Here is a 16,850-nt window from a genome sequence, read left to right on the forward strand (position 1 = left end):
ATAAATATGAATGAATGAATGAATGAATGAATGAATGATGAAGCAGTCCTATTCTCCTGATGATCCTATGGTAGGATTTTGGTTCTTAAGGGTTTTTAAAGTTCACCCTATAGTTTATCTGTGGGCTCTTGAGTCCCCTCCTACTTCTTCATGTATTGGACAAACCTACACCTTTATGAGTGGTTGCTCCAGACCCTGCTGCCCAGGATATAAGGAAGAAAGTACAGGTTCAGACAGGGAACAAGTCTATCTGAAATTCCTGGCAAAAGTACCTGATATTAAGTACATCAGGTATGTGACTGGTGCTGAATTTCAGATATAAATTAAAAATGGTAAAATAAATAAATAGCACCCAAAAAAGAAATGGCTGGAATTTAGAATTCATTTACTGAAAGAAAGGAGAACAAATCTGGATGAAATAGGCTTCTTCAAGTACTGTATATAAATGATTATCTTATGAGAAGACATCAGTTGATTCTTAATTCCAGTTATTTTAGACTGTAAAATAATTTAATTCAGTTTAACACATACTGAGTGTCAATGTAAAAGCCTCATGTTAGCCAGTGACTGCCTGAGTTAATGTTAGATATTTATGTTGCACACAGAAAGTGTACTTCTGTGCATGCATGTTACTAGTGAATCTGGTTGTGAGGCAAAAAAAATGATTTTAGAGTATTTTTTTGATGATTTTAACAGTAAACATCCACCTGTCTATAGAACAGATCTATGTGGAAATAGCGGAATCTACCATTTCACCTCTCAATGAATCTGTTTCTTATTTACTTCTTTTTATAAAAAATTTCCTATTTGGGCCTCTCTGAATAAATTATAATCTAAGAATTTAGATTTGCCTAACGTATATGGTATACTACAGTCACTTCCACCCCTTCATCAAGGAAAGGAAGGGTGACACTGGAATGAAGAAGCTCTCTTGCTACAGACAATAACAGCAGCAGCCCTGGACTTGGTGGCAAAGGGTCTGAATTAGCATCCTGGCCCTGCAGCTTAGCAGCCAGGTGACTGCAGGCAAATTATATATCTCTCCAAGTCACATTTTATTCACATGTAAAATACTAATATGGATAATTTTCAACATATTATACTATTCTGAAGATTAAAGATTAGCTCCTAGAATGTAAGTTTCCAGCATCTAGATCCACATCTGACACATTTTATATATATAGTGTGTGTATATATATATATATACACATATATATGTGTGTGTGTATATATATACATATATATATACATATATATATGTATATATATATTTTTTTTTTTTAGCTAGAGACAGGGCTATGTTGCCCAGGCTAGTCTCAAACTCCTGATTCCTGGGCTCAAGAAATTCTCCTGCCTCAGCCTCCCAAAGTACTGGGATTATAGTCATAAACCACCATGCCCGGCCCTGACACGCAATATATTCTTAGGAAATATTCATTGTTGAATAAATACATGATCTAATTAAGACACATTTTTAATTTTATAATCGCTAGCAAAAAAATGGAAACTGACATAACCTCCTTGGTTTCACTGCACATCTGTGGGATATTTTTCTCGAGGATCTTGTAAGAGTGTCCAGTAGGTGAGCTTCATACTGTAGCTATAATCATATGAATGATTTTCATAATCATTCTTGTTATTCCTCTCACAGAGAGCATTTGTTGAGATGTTTCTATGTGCCAGGCACTGTGCTAAATTCTCCACATGCATAGCTCCTATAATCCTGACAATAACCCTAGAAAGTAACCAGAATGATGTCCCTCATCTTACAGATGGGGAGGCAGAAGCTAAGAGTCTAAGTAATGATTGCAGTCTCCCAACTATGTAGCATTGGAGATCAGAATGAGATGCAGGTGTCTGAGTCCAGAGTCCACGCTCATGGGAAAGAGCAAGACTTTGGAGCACGGGGTCCTGGGTTTGAGGACCAGCTCTGACCTATACATGTGTGAAAATACTGACATCAATTTCACTGTTCCCAGAAATCAATTGCTCCCACCCTAAATAATCATATCTCAGAGAAATAAATCCTGCCTCACACAGTTATCATGAGGACCAAAGAAATTATTATAGTTTCCTTACCTATGAATTTTCTGAGAATAGACCATGTAGCAGATCCTTAGGAAATTCTGGTGGATGAATTGCTGGTTTCATGAGTTGCTTTTTAACTATACGTCACTTTACGAATTTCAATTGTCTTCATTATCGACAACTTTGCCATGTATTGACCAAAAGCTTCCAGACTGTAGAATCACAGTGATTCCAAAACTCTCCCAATGAACCTGCACTCCTTTGCAATACAAAGTTGACTTTGAATGCCACTGCCCATGAAATTCTGATCTAGGCCTTATAATAGAAGGCAAGTAGCTGGTCACCCTAATTACCAACAGATGATTTCAAAAATGAACTTTTTTTTCAGGGAAGTAGTTGAAAAATTATTAGAAAAACATTCAAAATGTGGTCAACAGCAGGGACTCAGCGTGAGGCTTGAAGCAAACAGTGGAATCTTTAGAAGCCTGCTTTGTGTGCCCACGGTCAGGGGAGCAGACACAGAGCAGATTGCAGCCCTGAGCCACTGCGGGAGCTAGAGGTACTCCTTCAGCCATCGGGTTTGGCAGGAAAAAAAAAAAAAGATTATAATAAAAAGTAAGGAAAATGATATTGCTCATAATGTAAATATCACAACCATGGGCCATATCAGATAGGGCATCTCCGCTATTTAAAATAACTCATTTGCAAAATATAATTTGTGAAATGTCTCCTATTCTGAGATGAAGTGAAACTACAGCTAACTGTACCCCTTGATGGGTTGCCCCCAGAACTGCTGATCATTCACTTTGATGCCGCAGTAAGTACCTCACTGGCATTGGCAAAATGTAGAGAAGACCCAGCTCCTGGCCCTTCTGCTATCAGATCTAAATATTTCAAACAAGACAAAGGCTGAGAGAACATCAGCGGGAGTTTATTTCTTAGCTCTTGAGAGGCAATTTGGCATATGGTTTCACTTTTAAAATCATCAACATCAGTCAATTCTTTCACTTAGAGATATCTTTCATGGTATGACACTGAACACAAAATAGGGTAAACTAGGGATGTAAATGTTTTATCAGGATCAAGAAATCCTTTTGACCTGAACATAAAACAGGAACAATGCATTTACTTCTAATTGTTTTTTTCATGGAAATAATTACAGTATGTATCAGAGTGTGTATATTGGTAGAGAGACTATCCACCTAGAAATCAGAACCCTGAAGTTCTGTTCCCAGCTTTAGGTAAGCCCCTTTTGGTTTCTTCATCCAAGACCTTTATCACGCGGTTGCAAGATGGACATGTATCATGTTCCATGCACTTCCAAATAGGCTACCTCATTTAATCCCCTTATTATTCCCACTTTGCAGACAAGAAAACCAATTCACACCAGGCCAACTGTTAGAGGCAGAGCAAAAAAGCAGAGGATGTGCAGTGTGAAGACTTGGGGTTGAGTCACCATTCCACCACACTGTCCCACTGTGTGGTCTCTAGCTTAACTTTTTTTTTTTTTTTTTTTTTTTGCGACAGAGTCTCACTCTGTCACCCAGGCTGGAGTGCAGTGATGCTATCTTGGCTCGCTGCAACCTCCACCTCCCAAGTTCAAGTGATTTTCGTGCCTCAGCCTCCCGAGTAGCTGGAATCCCAGGCAAGCACCACCATGACCAGCTAATTTTTGTGTTTTTAGTAGAGACGAGGTTTCACCATGTGGCTCAGACTGGTCTCGAACTCCTGATCTCAAGTGATCCAACAACCTCGGCCTCCCAAAGTGCTGGGATTACAGGCGTGAGCCACTGTGCCTGGCCTCTAGTTTAACTTTTATGTAAAGTGTATCCCAGCACACCCCTTATAAATATGGATTCTGCTTCCTTCTTTCTTCATGCTCAAAGACATAAAACTCTTGAGCAACAAGGCTAGGAATGTATCTGAATTCAAATTCAGATACATTTATTTTAAAGACCGTAAGCAATTTTTATTTCTGCAGAGGGGATGACAAGGTCACTCTGAGAGCTTACCAAGAACAGAAAGTGGAGAGAGCTCAGAGGCAGGAAATCTGCCGTGGGTCGGCCTGCCTACCTCCAATGAGTTGTGTTGTAACAGCCTGCAAGATACTACTTATCAAGGAAATCATTTTTTACACCTCTTTTTTGCTGATTATAAAAATATGTCTAGGTGCTGAATGCAGGGAAGCAGGGCTTTGCAGAGGCTTAGGCTGAGGAGATTTCTCATTCTAAATGACACAAATTCCTAAACAGAAATTAGGCATATTATTTCACAGAGATTGAGATTATAAAACATGCCATTTCTGGAAAAAAAAATAAAGTAATGCCTGCTAATGACGGGGAAAGGGAGAATAAGCAAAATGTTAAAATTTTGGTGCATTCACATCCAGTATCTATCAACACATGTATGTTGTGTATTTGCATGGAACTCTACTCTTCTAAAGTAACTTAAATTGTTTGTTAACAAATTTTTTTAGACTCTTAGCCTGTATTCCTGGATATGTTTGTTATTTCCAATTTTTTACCACTATAATATTGCAATGAGTAACCTCGTACATAAATTTGGCAAAGCCATTTCAGAAATATTTTCTAGGCACACTTAGGGCATGTTGTGAGTGTTTACAACGTGCCAGTGTGCACTATTTTATTAGCATTATCAGCTCAATCCTTGCCCACATCCCATGGTGTATCTTTGATTACTATTGCCTTTTACAGATAGGAAAACTGAGCAGAAGAAAGATTAATCCACTTGCCTTAATTCCTACAAAATTTACAGAGCCAGGGTTTGAATAGTCTATCTCCAGAGCCTAGACTTTTACTAAGAACATTGCCACAATTGCCTTGTCTCCTGATATTCAGATGAAAGGGGATTTCCCTTCACATCAGATGTAGCGTATAGAAGCCTCCCAATTAGAGAGTCCAGCTGGGATAACCTGGAAACACTCTGGAATCTGGAGTTATCCTTGGGTTGCCCTAGGTCCACAATGACCACAAAGCCTATGATGTGCACCAAAGTCCACCCCCGAGTCCAGCTCCTGAGTCCATCATGCACAATAGAAAGGACATTTATTTCAAGATCCCTAACAACACACAACCTGATAAAGCCACACTGCAGACAATTCTGCAAGCCTTTCCTCTGAAGTTGATTTTTCATCTTGTTGCTTCAGAGCATGTGTCATTCTTGACTAAATTTCTCTTCCTCCCATTTTTGCACAGGCTGATTTGTAATCCTCAAAGTTAACACAAAGTTACCCTGTGAAGAGTAAACCTATTGGGAAAACACACTAAAGCTTCATAGTCAGATTATAATTAGTTTCTGTGGAGGAAAAAAGAATGACAAAAGCTACAAAAACAAGTTGTTAGTAACACCCAACTTTATGTTGAAGATGAGACAGTACATTCTGTGCTCACATATGCAGAAAGAGGCAAACAAAATATGGTAGAGGGAGTCTCAAAAAGGAACCTCTGCCATCTTCAGAACTGAAAGCAGGATGTGTAAAGGAAAACGAATGACCTGAAAGGAGTTTTCATATAGTGTAGCCCACGAAGGCCAAGGCGGGAAACAGCATGCAGCCAGAGAGGGGAGAGAGGGTATAATGAGATACAGCTGAAGAAGGGAAAATTCTAGATGCCTATCAGAGACTTCCTGGCAGTGAGAACTGCTGGATTTGAGAATGGCCTCCCAAGGGAAAGGCGGGAAGCTCCCTCACTCAGGACACTGGAAACCGGACAGAGCCAAACAGTAGTGGCTCTGCTGAAGGAGGAAACCTGCAAACAGAGGATGAACCAGATAACCTGCAAGGCCGTTTCTTTCTGGATTCTCTTTGATTATAGTAATATAATCCTGCAGGGATGTAGGAAAAGTTGCAGGGGGTGCTTTGCTTTAAATTTTTGAGTGAACTTAATTCTGATGGTTGGTGCTGGACTGACATCCTAAGAGACAAAAACTCTCTATTCATCCATACAATGGATACAACTTTGACAGGGATACCTTTCTCCACTGGGCTTTACCAAATGTGTCCCCAGTCCAGGTATTAAAGTAGAAGGGAAAGCTGGATCCTTTCACCATCTGACTCATTGCTTCTCTTCATAGCTTCACCACAACAAAAGAGTATTGGTTATAAAGATTGGCTCTCAGACTGAATACCCTGCACTCCGCCCCCACCTAACAACTCAAATGTTACATTGTGAAGAGGCCACACAGAACTTTTAAAAGCACCTATCTGAAGGCCAGGCATGGTGGCTCACACCTGTAATCCCAGCAATTTTGGAGGCCAAGAGGAGAGGATGGCTTGAGCCCAGGAGTTCAAGACCAGCCTGACCAACATGGTGAGACTGTATCTCTACAAAAAAAGAAAAAAAATTAACGGATCCATCTGGGAGGCATCAAATTGAGGCAAACCACTTTCAAAGAATGGTATGTAGTAGCAAGCCTAGGTCTCTTATTCTCTTTTCTGCATGAACATATGTCAAAAAGGATGGATGGATAGATGGATTTGGATATAATTACTACATACCTTTTGCTTCTGGGTCTGGAATAAGAAGTTTTAATATAGCATCCTTTTCCCTTTCTTGTCCTTCTTTATCTTCCATCTCCCTTTCATACTTTCCTTCCAAAGGATAATTTTTATCCTCCCTCAAATTTGCTCAGAACACGCCAGGATAAGAGATCTCAGTTACGAGAAGTTCGAGTAAATATCTTCACCTGCCAGACTCTCTGCCAATTGATGCAGATCCCTTGAACATGCTCCTGCATCTCTCCTGAGTTGCTGGTTTCTTATTTTCTTTACTTGCATTTTTGCAGAAGTAACCTCAAAGTGCCAAGAAAGTTCTGCACATAAACCAAACAGTAACATTCATCTGAGATGCAGCTCTTTGATCTCCTCTTCCAAGTATGTGTAAATCTGAACGTTTTATTTTCTGTATTTCTCCTCTACCCAAGCCCAGCAATATTGACACAGCTACATAGCTGACTATCTCCCTATTATATGAAGGCTTGGTCTCACTACATACCAGTGCAAATTTTTTAATCTGCCTTTCTAGTCCCAAATCTCCAGAGCAGGTGGGAGGAGAATGTATGCAACCTTTTCATTTTCACCAGGTATGTAGACCTGACCAGACATACCTTCCATCTATATGGATGCAAACCTCACAGAGGCAAAACCCTCAATTCAGACAATGGTATAGGCGTGCGGTCAAGTTTGCCCTAGGTCCAAGTACTGATCTCAGGGATATTAGCAATAAAGGGAAGACCCAGTTTGCCCCTCATTTTATGAAACGATTTTAAACAAAATTCCCTGCATATTCTGAGAATGAATATATTTAATCATTAATTTCCTATAGAAGGTTTCTATTACACAGCAATAGACTCGGAGAAAAACAAGGCCTCACGAGCGGCCCCGCAGGGTTTGGATGGCGTTCTAGCCAAAGCTTGCCCACAGAGGTTGGAACTTGTTTTTCCCCTCTATGTTTAAGTAATCAAAAGAACATCTACTCAGTGAAAGAGAGAGAACTGAATTTGTCAGGAAGTAGTTGTTGCCTCTGATTTCCTGCTCCTTTATTAGAGACAAAAGCCTGCTATATAGTTACTTGCAATTGGTATATGGTGTGCATTGGCAGACCACAATGTAGGTGAGTAATGAATCCTGTGGGAATCTGAATGACCTGACCCAAGACCCCACTCACTAGTGAGCAGACAACCTGGAGCCTGAAAACACATTGTTTTCAAGTTAGCGAAAGGCAATTTTTAAAAAATTAAAATGCCAGAAAAATAGAACACAATGACAGCCCAACACAGAGTGATTATTTTCATGGCTAATAAAAAGAAAATGATTCAACACATACAATGCCCAAGGGTAAGGCATGACCAAGTGTAAGAAATGCACCTCAGTGAATAATTACCTTCTTGAATCCACTGACCCAAAGATCTCCTGCTTCAGGACTTGTATATCTCCACACCTGAACCAACTAGCGGGAGAAAGTTTCCTTGAAAAAGTACCTGATGTAAACCTGTAATATAGTAGAGCCATGATAACCTCTTCATGGCTCCTGGAATAAATGTATCACTCTATCTACCGACACGTCTGCTTCAACTCAGCGTCAGTACATTGACTCCCTTGTACTTCCAACACTGAAGGAGAATTATCGCTTTGTTAATTGTTCAATCCTCAAACAGGAACACAGTTTGCCAAGAGTGCCTCTCTCGAACGACAGAACCTCACCCCCTGCCAAAGCGCAGGATGACTAGCATAGACTGTGTACTGCCACTCAATGAGTTCTAACACCCTTAACGGGGTGGTGGTGGCCTTGCATGACCATGTCTAGCTCACTGGCCACAGAATGTCTGATGTAGTATCCTGGGTCTTTCACACAGGGGCCAGGTTTTTGGCCAAAAGGACCTGATCTCTCTCTTTGTACTCAATCATTTCCACCTGGTTTTTGTTTTCATTTTAACTCTCTCATAAGGAGACGTCCCAGCTGGGTCATCAACATAGTAAAGAAGCATTTATTCTGAACAAATAACATAATTCATAGGTATATATTGACTTTGTCTGTTGCCCCAGAGATTCTTTGTGTCCATACCCTGAAGCCATTTCAACATAACCCAGTCCAATATAACTTGGGATGCCAGGGCCAATTCTGGACATGAAGGAGCAGGTTCTCTCAAAGCCTTCTTGATTTGAACTCCGACTGAGGGAATCTATGAAAGCTCATCCACAGGCCTCCGAGATACCATCTGCCCCATGACTTAATTTGAAATTTCTTCCTATGGGAGCCCAAGCATGACCAGAAGGCAGGTCATGGTTAAAATGTTCATAGCCAACTAAACAACGGTCTGCTTGTTCTCTCCCATGAGTGACCAACCTTAACCATCCCCTCATTTCCATCCATAAAATTTTTCTATTATTTCGCAGAAATAACCTTTGAAATTTGTTTTATTTTACAAAATAGCTCTCAGACACGATTTTTAGAACACTTGCAGGACTTGCACACATGTGGTCTTCTCTTCTTTTTAAAGCCACTTAGTGACTTTACATGACTGTAATGTTTTGTTTATTACTCTTTGTGAGGAGAGCTGGGCTTGGTGGCTCATCTCTGATCCCAGTGCCATCCCCGTTGGGCAGCTGGGAATTGAGACTCTTCTTCTGTCATTATTGGCTGTTAAAATGTCTGATGCTTCAGTGCTCCTTGGCCTATCTCTCTCTCCACATGCTGTCTCAGCCTCCAGGGCCTATCCATATGGTTTGGACTTTTCATGAATGATGATCTTGAGTAGTTGGACTTCTTACATGGTACTTAGAATTCAGAGAAAAAATCATCCCAAGAGACTCAAATGGAAGCTTCGAGGCTTCTTATGAGTAAGGCTCAGAAATCCCTGAAAATTACTTCTATTTAGTTCCAGTAGTCAAACAAGTCACTAAAGTCAGTCCAGTTTCAAAGGAATTGGAGAAATAGATTCCACTTCTTGGCTGGGGAATGACATGTAAGAATAGAAAGAATTGATGGTAGCCATCTTGTATATAAACTACCACAGAGGGAATGCAACTCTTCCTCTAGCATTATGTTTTTCCACAAAGGTGTGAAAGCAGTGCTGTTTGCTCCCTGGTTTCTTATAAAGCTTTGTTTTTACGAGGTTTTTTTTTTTTTCATTTATAGCTCCATTTATTCATAGGCTTCAGATGTAAATCCATGAGAGTCTGGACTCATGAATGTTGTAAGTGACAAACACTATGCTTTACTCAGAAACTCTTCCCTGCTAATAAGGTATTATAGAACTAAGCTTGTCTGTTGAATTTGTTCTTCCTTTGAGATAACTTCTCTTCAAGGATGCTTCTTAGTTCCCTCAAACGCTGGAAGGTCCATCTTGCCAGGGCACCAGACATGCATGGACATTCCAGACTCCAAATGGTGACTGTAGCCTGGGCTCAAACAGAGACCACTGCTGCACAAGTTATTTCAGCACAGAGCCTGGCATGTGGGAGACGTTCAACAAGCATTAGTTCCCATCTTCTTCTCTTCTCTCTATACAGGGAGACCTAAGTTACATATCAGTTTATGATTCCCATCTACAGATGATAAAACTGAGGCTCGGAGAAGTTAACAGGTCCGATCAAGTTCATGTAACCAGTATGTGAAGGAATTGAAACTTGAGCCCAGTCTTCTGATGCTTAGTTTAGAGTTATTTCAGTTCCAAGGATTACAAGGGCAAGTTTACTACCTGAATTCAAAGGTATAAAATTGAGAGCAGATTCTTCAGTGGAAAAGAATATAGCAGTAAGAAAATGGGATGCCAGGGTTGGTACAGATAAGTATTGAAATAGAAGTAGCGTATCATAAAATTACACCACCCATTCACCAGTTTTGCCTGGAGCCAGCCTTATTATATTTTCCAGAAATATATCAGAGGGTTTACTCTTACAAATACATACTAATGATACTGTCTTAAGTTCTTCAGGCTAGTAAATAATTTTTAGCTTTGTGCTGCGCACTCCAAGTCCCCTTTAATCCCTCACGTCCTGCTTACAGTTAATGGAATGCAAAATTCCATCTTGCCCTGTTCTTCAGATCTCCCAGCAGGACGTCACTGCTGTGTATCAGTTACTAGGTGTGGGTTTCCTTTTGCACCAGCTTGTCTGCCTTCCGAGTGATGAAACGAAGCTTTCCCCAAGGAGAGAACCCAACATTATTTCCTCCTGCCTGGTCAGCTTCCACTGAAAGCCTGTGGCAGCCTTTGCTTCCAGCAACAACAGGCTGGTATCCATAACAAAGGCAGCCAGAGGCTGTGATCTGGCCGTCTTCAACTCTGTCATTTAGCCAACATGGTTTCCTAGCCTTGTCCCAGATACTATGCCTCTGGTCTTTGGTTGCCCTACTACCTGGCATACATTTAGGTGTCAGCAGACAAGATGAGCCTAAGTTCCCATCTCCTTGACTCAAGAGATCTGTGACTGTGCTGAATAAAGTTTACTTCCTTTACTGAAATTACCAGAAGACATCTGCAAAGAGGTCAAGTCACTGTAGGTCATAATCATAATATATTCACTTTTGGAGGCAAAATGCAAAAATGCTGCTCAGAATTAAGACATTTTTTACACATCCTGGAGCAAGAAGCAAACAAGTGCTTTAAATTCTGTGATGACTTTATTTTAAATTGTGTCACTTTTACACTGCACTTATTAAAATAAATGTGTTGAAAATTCTGGAGAGAAGACCAGTGTGAGAATTCCACCCTTGAATTAATGTAACTGTTTTCTCCTAGAGAAATATGCCCAGTAGGACCTGGCATTAAAATGAGAATAACTTCAGCCCTGCAGACAACCTCTTCAACGTTAGTGTCACCAAAGCAGGGAAGGGACACAATGAAAACAAATATACCATATTCACTTATCTAAAATAGAGTATAACACATCAGCCACAGCCAATTCATTCTATTCACTTTGAAAATAATGTAAATTATGTAGAGTCATCATAAAAAGAAGGAAAATAATCAAATAAAAAAGACAAAATTAAACTCACATATAATCACACTATCTTGACATAACCACTGTAAATGATTTGGGATATATATTCTTCCAAACCTTGCCCTGTGTGTATGTATATATATATCATTTTAACAAAATTAAGCTGCCTACAATTTGTAATTTTCTATCTATACTTAATAGAACATAATTTTCTATGTTGAAAAATGTACATCTACATTGCAAAATATCACCTATTTTTAATTATAAAGGGGAAAATGTGCCTTTATAATAAAAGCATCTGTTATCCTCCAGCCAGCGAAGCTTGACTTTGCCAGTAATTTGGTGGCCTGATACTATATGCTTCCTGATGCAATGTAGTGAGAAGTATGCACATCGCCTATTAAGTGTTCTTGCCTAAAATGTTTAACCAATTCTAATCATGATGAAACAAGCTAATCCAAGATGTTGGGCATTCTGCATAATGGTTATCCTGGACTTCCCAAAGGATTTGAAGTCATCAAAGAATAGAGGAGACAGTTTTCAAAGATTGAGAGCTACTAAGGATATATAATAGTTAACGTCATGAGTAAAATTTCATTGGAATTTGAATCAGAAAAAAAAAGCTATAAGGAATATTTTAGGACAATTTAAGTATGTTTGCAAATGATCTTATTGAATCCATGATTATTTTCTTAGGTGTGGTAATGGTGTTGTGAGAGAGAATACTCTTACTCTTGAAAGGAGTGCCAAATGAAGTATTAAGAGGTGAAATTTCATGACATTGGTACACTACTTTCAGAAGGCTGGGCCAAAAAGAAGAACCTATCCACAGAGACATGTTGTTAACACATATTCACTGCACCATTCCTTCAAGTTTTTGGTGAGTTTGAAATATCTCAAAGTTATTTATAAGGCATATGTATGTAACATGTAAGCAGGCATATTTCTCCTTATTATTCTTTCAACTTTTATTTTAGGTTCAGGAATACATGTGCAGGTTTGTTATGCAGGTAAAATCATGTCTCAGGAATTTGTGGTACAGATTTCTTGTCACCCCAGATACTAAGCCTTTTTTTTTTTTTGAAAGGGTTTTGCTCTGTTGCCCAAGTTGGAGTGCAATGGTGGGATCTCGGCTCACTACTCTCTGCCTCCCAGGTTCAAATGATCCTCCTACCTCACCTCCCGAGTAGCTGGGACCACAGATGCACACCACCACATCCAGCTAATTTTTGCATTTTTTGTAGAGACAGGGTTTTGCCATGCTGCCCAGGCTAGTCTTGAACTCCTAGGCTCAAATAATCCACCCACCTCAGCCTCTCAAAGTGCTGGGATTATAGGCGAGAGCCATCACACCCAGCTAGGCATATTTCTATCTCATCATATTTAATGACTAAATGAGATTCTATTATATCATAACCTATTTAACAAATCTCTGGTTTTCAACATTTCGTTGTTCCAATTTTTAACTAATATAAACAAGTTTCAAAGACAATTCTTGTAGTTGTTTGCATGTATTCTTCATTATTTATTTAGGATTAATTCCCAGAAGCAACTGCTCAATCAAGTTTATGAACATTTTTAAGGTTTTCAGCACTAACACCTGCAACCCAATTATTGGATTCAGCCCTGAATATTTTCTGTAACCCTCAAGCCCCAAAACCTGTTAATTCTCTTTAAAATTACTACAATTGTCATATGATAAGACTTCTAACACTGGTATTTTATTTCCCAAGTTGTTATAATTAGTGCTTTCACTCGTTGACAACACTTAGTAAATTTTTTTGTATACCCATGGACATTTCAACTCTATACAAAACTGCTTTCATTGTAACCATAGAGAACCTAGGAACTGTCCATCATCTTTTCTTGTCCTGTTCATCTGCTCTAAAAATGTCTATCTTTATTATTGGCAGCAACACAACTTTGGTCATTGTCCCCAACAAAAGTGGCACTACCCTGGCCTGACCAGAGGTTAGACCCACCTAGCAGTGTACTGCAGCCTTGTGGCACTTTCCATGACAACCACTCTGGAGGACAAGGAGTCTGGGTGCTGCCATGGTCTCGACCACTATCTCCAGGAAGTCATCTTCCAACACTTACTAGTTGATACACACATCACTACATCACACTTATTAAGCAGTATTACGAAGTGCTATTAAGTGTTATTAGCACTATTAGTGTTACTAAGCGCTGTGAGAGCAAACCCTAGCCAAACACTTTCAGAGCTGTTCCTCACAGGTTTGGTCTATTTAACAAGCCAAGCTCATCGTTATCTAACACATTGAGATGCAGCCAGCTCCCTTTACTTGCTCTGTCTCTCACACATACACTCATTTTCCCCACACTAAAGCATGTGCAGAATATTCTCCAGGACCTCACTCTGGCTAAGTGACCAAAAAGGAAAGGAAAGTTAAGAAAAATATACATAGCCATTTTATGTAGTATATTTTTTGCCAGTAGAAGTAAAATCGTTGACCCAAGAATCCAAACAAATTATGTTTTAGCTGGATCCCTTTCAAATAATAATAATAAAGAAAGTTTCAAATAACTGGAATGCAAGTTGCCATTTATGGAAGTGTTGAGATAAACTCATACCCATTTCAGGCTTCTCACAAGTTGTAGGATCAATATTTTCTGTTACCGGTTCTAATGTGGTATCCAAGCCCAAATCACGTTGACTAATAGCAGAAAGTTCATCCAAAGAAAACAGATAATGAGTTATATTAAAACCTTTCATCCCTTTCCAGAAGCAATTTTTTTCCTCAGCTCTCATGGGAGATCAGATTTCCAACCCCTCTTTGCAGTGGTTTTGGCTGCTCCTCTCACACTGAAAGCACAGGGGCCTTGGTCCTTCCATTGATTCATAAGTACAACACCCTACTTCTTGGATACAGAGCCATCGCGGAATGTTCGCTGGAGTGAGGCAGCGTATGGAGCACATGGGACATGCAGACCCAGGTAAGGTGTACAGGAGGCCGGGATCACCTGCAATGACTGTAACCTCAGGCAAATCTCACAACTTTTCACAGCCATGGATTTCACATTTATGCTCTGGCAACATTACCTCAAACCCACACTGTGTGGATTATGTGGAGAACTCTATAAACTATAAAAGTTACACAACATTTATTATTTTGGTGTACTTTAATTCAAGGGACAGTATTTAGCACATTGAGATGGTCTTCTGATCTATTTTTAAGAAAAGGTCAGCTAACATGAGATCTAAGAAGAGTATTATTCTGAAGTTACCATTAAGCTATAAGTCAAAAGACAAAATCTTGGTGTCAAAAAAATTGTTTGAAAATTTTACCAGTCAAAAATAATTTTTTATTAAATATATAAAATTTTCTATATTATGCAAAACCAAAAGATATGCACATTTAAATTTTACAGAAATTCAGAGGCACATTTATTTTACTTAGGTCACTGTTCGATGGGAGACCATATCCTGTACCCCTCTGCCAGGGGTGATGTATTATCTGGCTCAACCATGTGTCTGGAGTTGGGCCTCAGCAGAAATAACCTGCAGCTATTCCTCTTAAAAGTTATGTGACTTTGGGCAGTTAGTTTTCAACCCTGTGCCTGTTTCTTTATCTGCCCAATAGGGATAAAAATCCTTTACTTGCTCATCTGGTGACTGATTTTTATAAAGAACTGACGTCCTCGGCCCAAGGACTACCCCAGCTCCAGCACTCCCCATAGGAATAGCTAAGACTTTTATTGCAACATCTTTGTAATCCAGCTTCTTCTCTGCCTAATCTTGCATTCTTTACCCCTCAAAGATATTGTTGCCAAGAACCCTTCCCAACACACCCACTGTACACAAATCTCAGTGTATCAGAGTCTGATTCCTGGGAACCCAAACTATAACACCCCTTTTCAGGAAAAATGGACAAAATATCTATTCATAGAGGCTTGTAATGCTAAACATATCTTCTAGAGGTCATGCAAATCAGGTTAAACAACAAGAAAACCTTGGTGATCTAGTTTCTAACTCCTTCAACACCTTCTGTTCTGGAAGCTTAATTAGAGCAACTTAACTCAAGAGGGTAAGACAGTTTACCATGAATTGGTGGTCCTCACTCCCAGAAGCAATTCCAAGCATTTACTCTTTTCTCTAGATTTGCCTTTCCTTCCCATGTCAGTTATTCTTGCTTTCCCTTCCAAATATGCAAACCATCCATGTAATGAGATCTTGGTGTCTCCTCACCTGCAAGCATAGATTGCATGCCTGGCTCTGGCAACCCATGTTCTAACTTTATTTCTCGTTCAAGCTCTGTATACCATAGTCAACCCTATTTCCTCACTGCCTTGATCTTCAATAAAGATCAGAGAGCTATCCATCAGAGAGAATGGGAGAACTTCAAGGCAGACCTAAATTGGCTCAAAGAACAAGTGCCTCAAATGCTAGACGATGAGTTCATTTTTCAAAAAGAGATCCAAAGAACTCCTGAGTGGCATATAAAACCCTATTTCTAGACATGGAGTCTTTCAGACTGTATTTAGCTCAGAACATTATCTCCTCCCATTTTACTACCAGTTTTTTGTTTATTGTCTCTGGAGTCTGGTTCTAGCAGCCATCCAAGAAAACTGTGGGAATGTCTCAAAGCTGTTGCTAGTTATTCACCTTCATCACTGCTTCTACATTCCTAAGACTCCAAGAGCCTCAGTCAATTAGGGAATAGTGGATAGTGACCATCTAGACACCGTTTGCCACAACTGCTGTGTTATGGCCCCAGCCTTGATTTTCCAGATAAAAGTGAAAGCCAAGTATAAGGAATTGTTCCCTTGAGAGTGCTCACCTTGGCTGAATAGGATCTTAGAAGCCCACAGGTCATAGGCTCAGTTCTTAAACTGTAGATTTCAGTAACAGCACAGACAAAACATTACTGGTTCATCTTGTTTTTAAAAGGGCTCAGAATATGTAAACTTTTAAATAAACACCACTATCCTATGATCCTCATTTTTGAAGTGCCTTTGTGAGAACTGTTCATTTTTTCTTCTGTTCTTGCCACACCAAAAGGGAGTTATGGTGTTGAACTCACTTCATGCCTGAGACAGATCCATCCAAGAAGCAATACTTTGAACAATGTAAAGATGGCTATAAATGTTATATTGTATGTTTTCCCTCAGAACTTTAAAGAAATTCCAATATTTCTAGCTTGGTTGTTTGGATTTTTTCCCCCTGATTTGAGAGAGCTAGTTTCTCTCTCCCTCAACAAATTTCTTAGGAGGTCAAGATTTTTAATTATTTCTAGTCAGTAACAAAAAAAACCTAAGTGTACTTAAATGAATAAGATATTTACTTTTATGTTGTATACATATCACGGCTCCTCTTCAATTAAGGTAAATATATTTGCCT

General features: G+C 39.4%; 2 long non-coding RNA genes across 5 annotated transcripts in view, besides 1 other annotated feature; one reads left to right on the plus strand and one right to left on the minus strand.

The window, feature by feature from the left end:
• Positions 1-16,850, minus strand: part of HEY2-AS1 (HEY2 antisense RNA 1) — a 171,898-nt gene that overhangs the window by 82,502 nt on the left and 72,546 nt on the right. The window lies entirely within an intron of this gene.
• Positions 10,425-11,135: an enhancer, noted in NCBI's record as "OCT4-NANOG hESC enhancer chr6:125991600-125992310 (GRCh37/hg19 assembly coordinates)". NCBI's record gives its function as "activates a minimal SCP1, AML or CMV promoter by ChIP-STARR-seq in primed H9 embryonic stem cells {active_cell/tissue: H9 hESC(primed)}" and the evidence as "EXISTENCE:reporter gene assay evidence [ECO:0000049][PMID:30033119]".
• Positions 14,324-16,850, plus strand: part of LINC02523 (long intergenic non-protein coding RNA 2523) — a 45,866-nt gene continuing 43,339 nt past the window's right edge. The window contains exon 1 of the long non-coding RNA NR_038906.1: positions 14,324-14,446. This is a non-coding gene — a long non-coding RNA (long intergenic non-protein coding RNA 2523). The remainder of the gene's footprint in view (positions 14,447-16,850) is intronic.

This window comes from Homo sapiens, chromosome 6, assembly GCF_000001405.40.
Source record: "Homo sapiens chromosome 6, GRCh38.p14 Primary Assembly".
In the NCBI taxonomy this organism is placed as follows: Eukaryota; Metazoa; Chordata; class Mammalia; order Primates; family Hominidae; genus Homo; species Homo sapiens.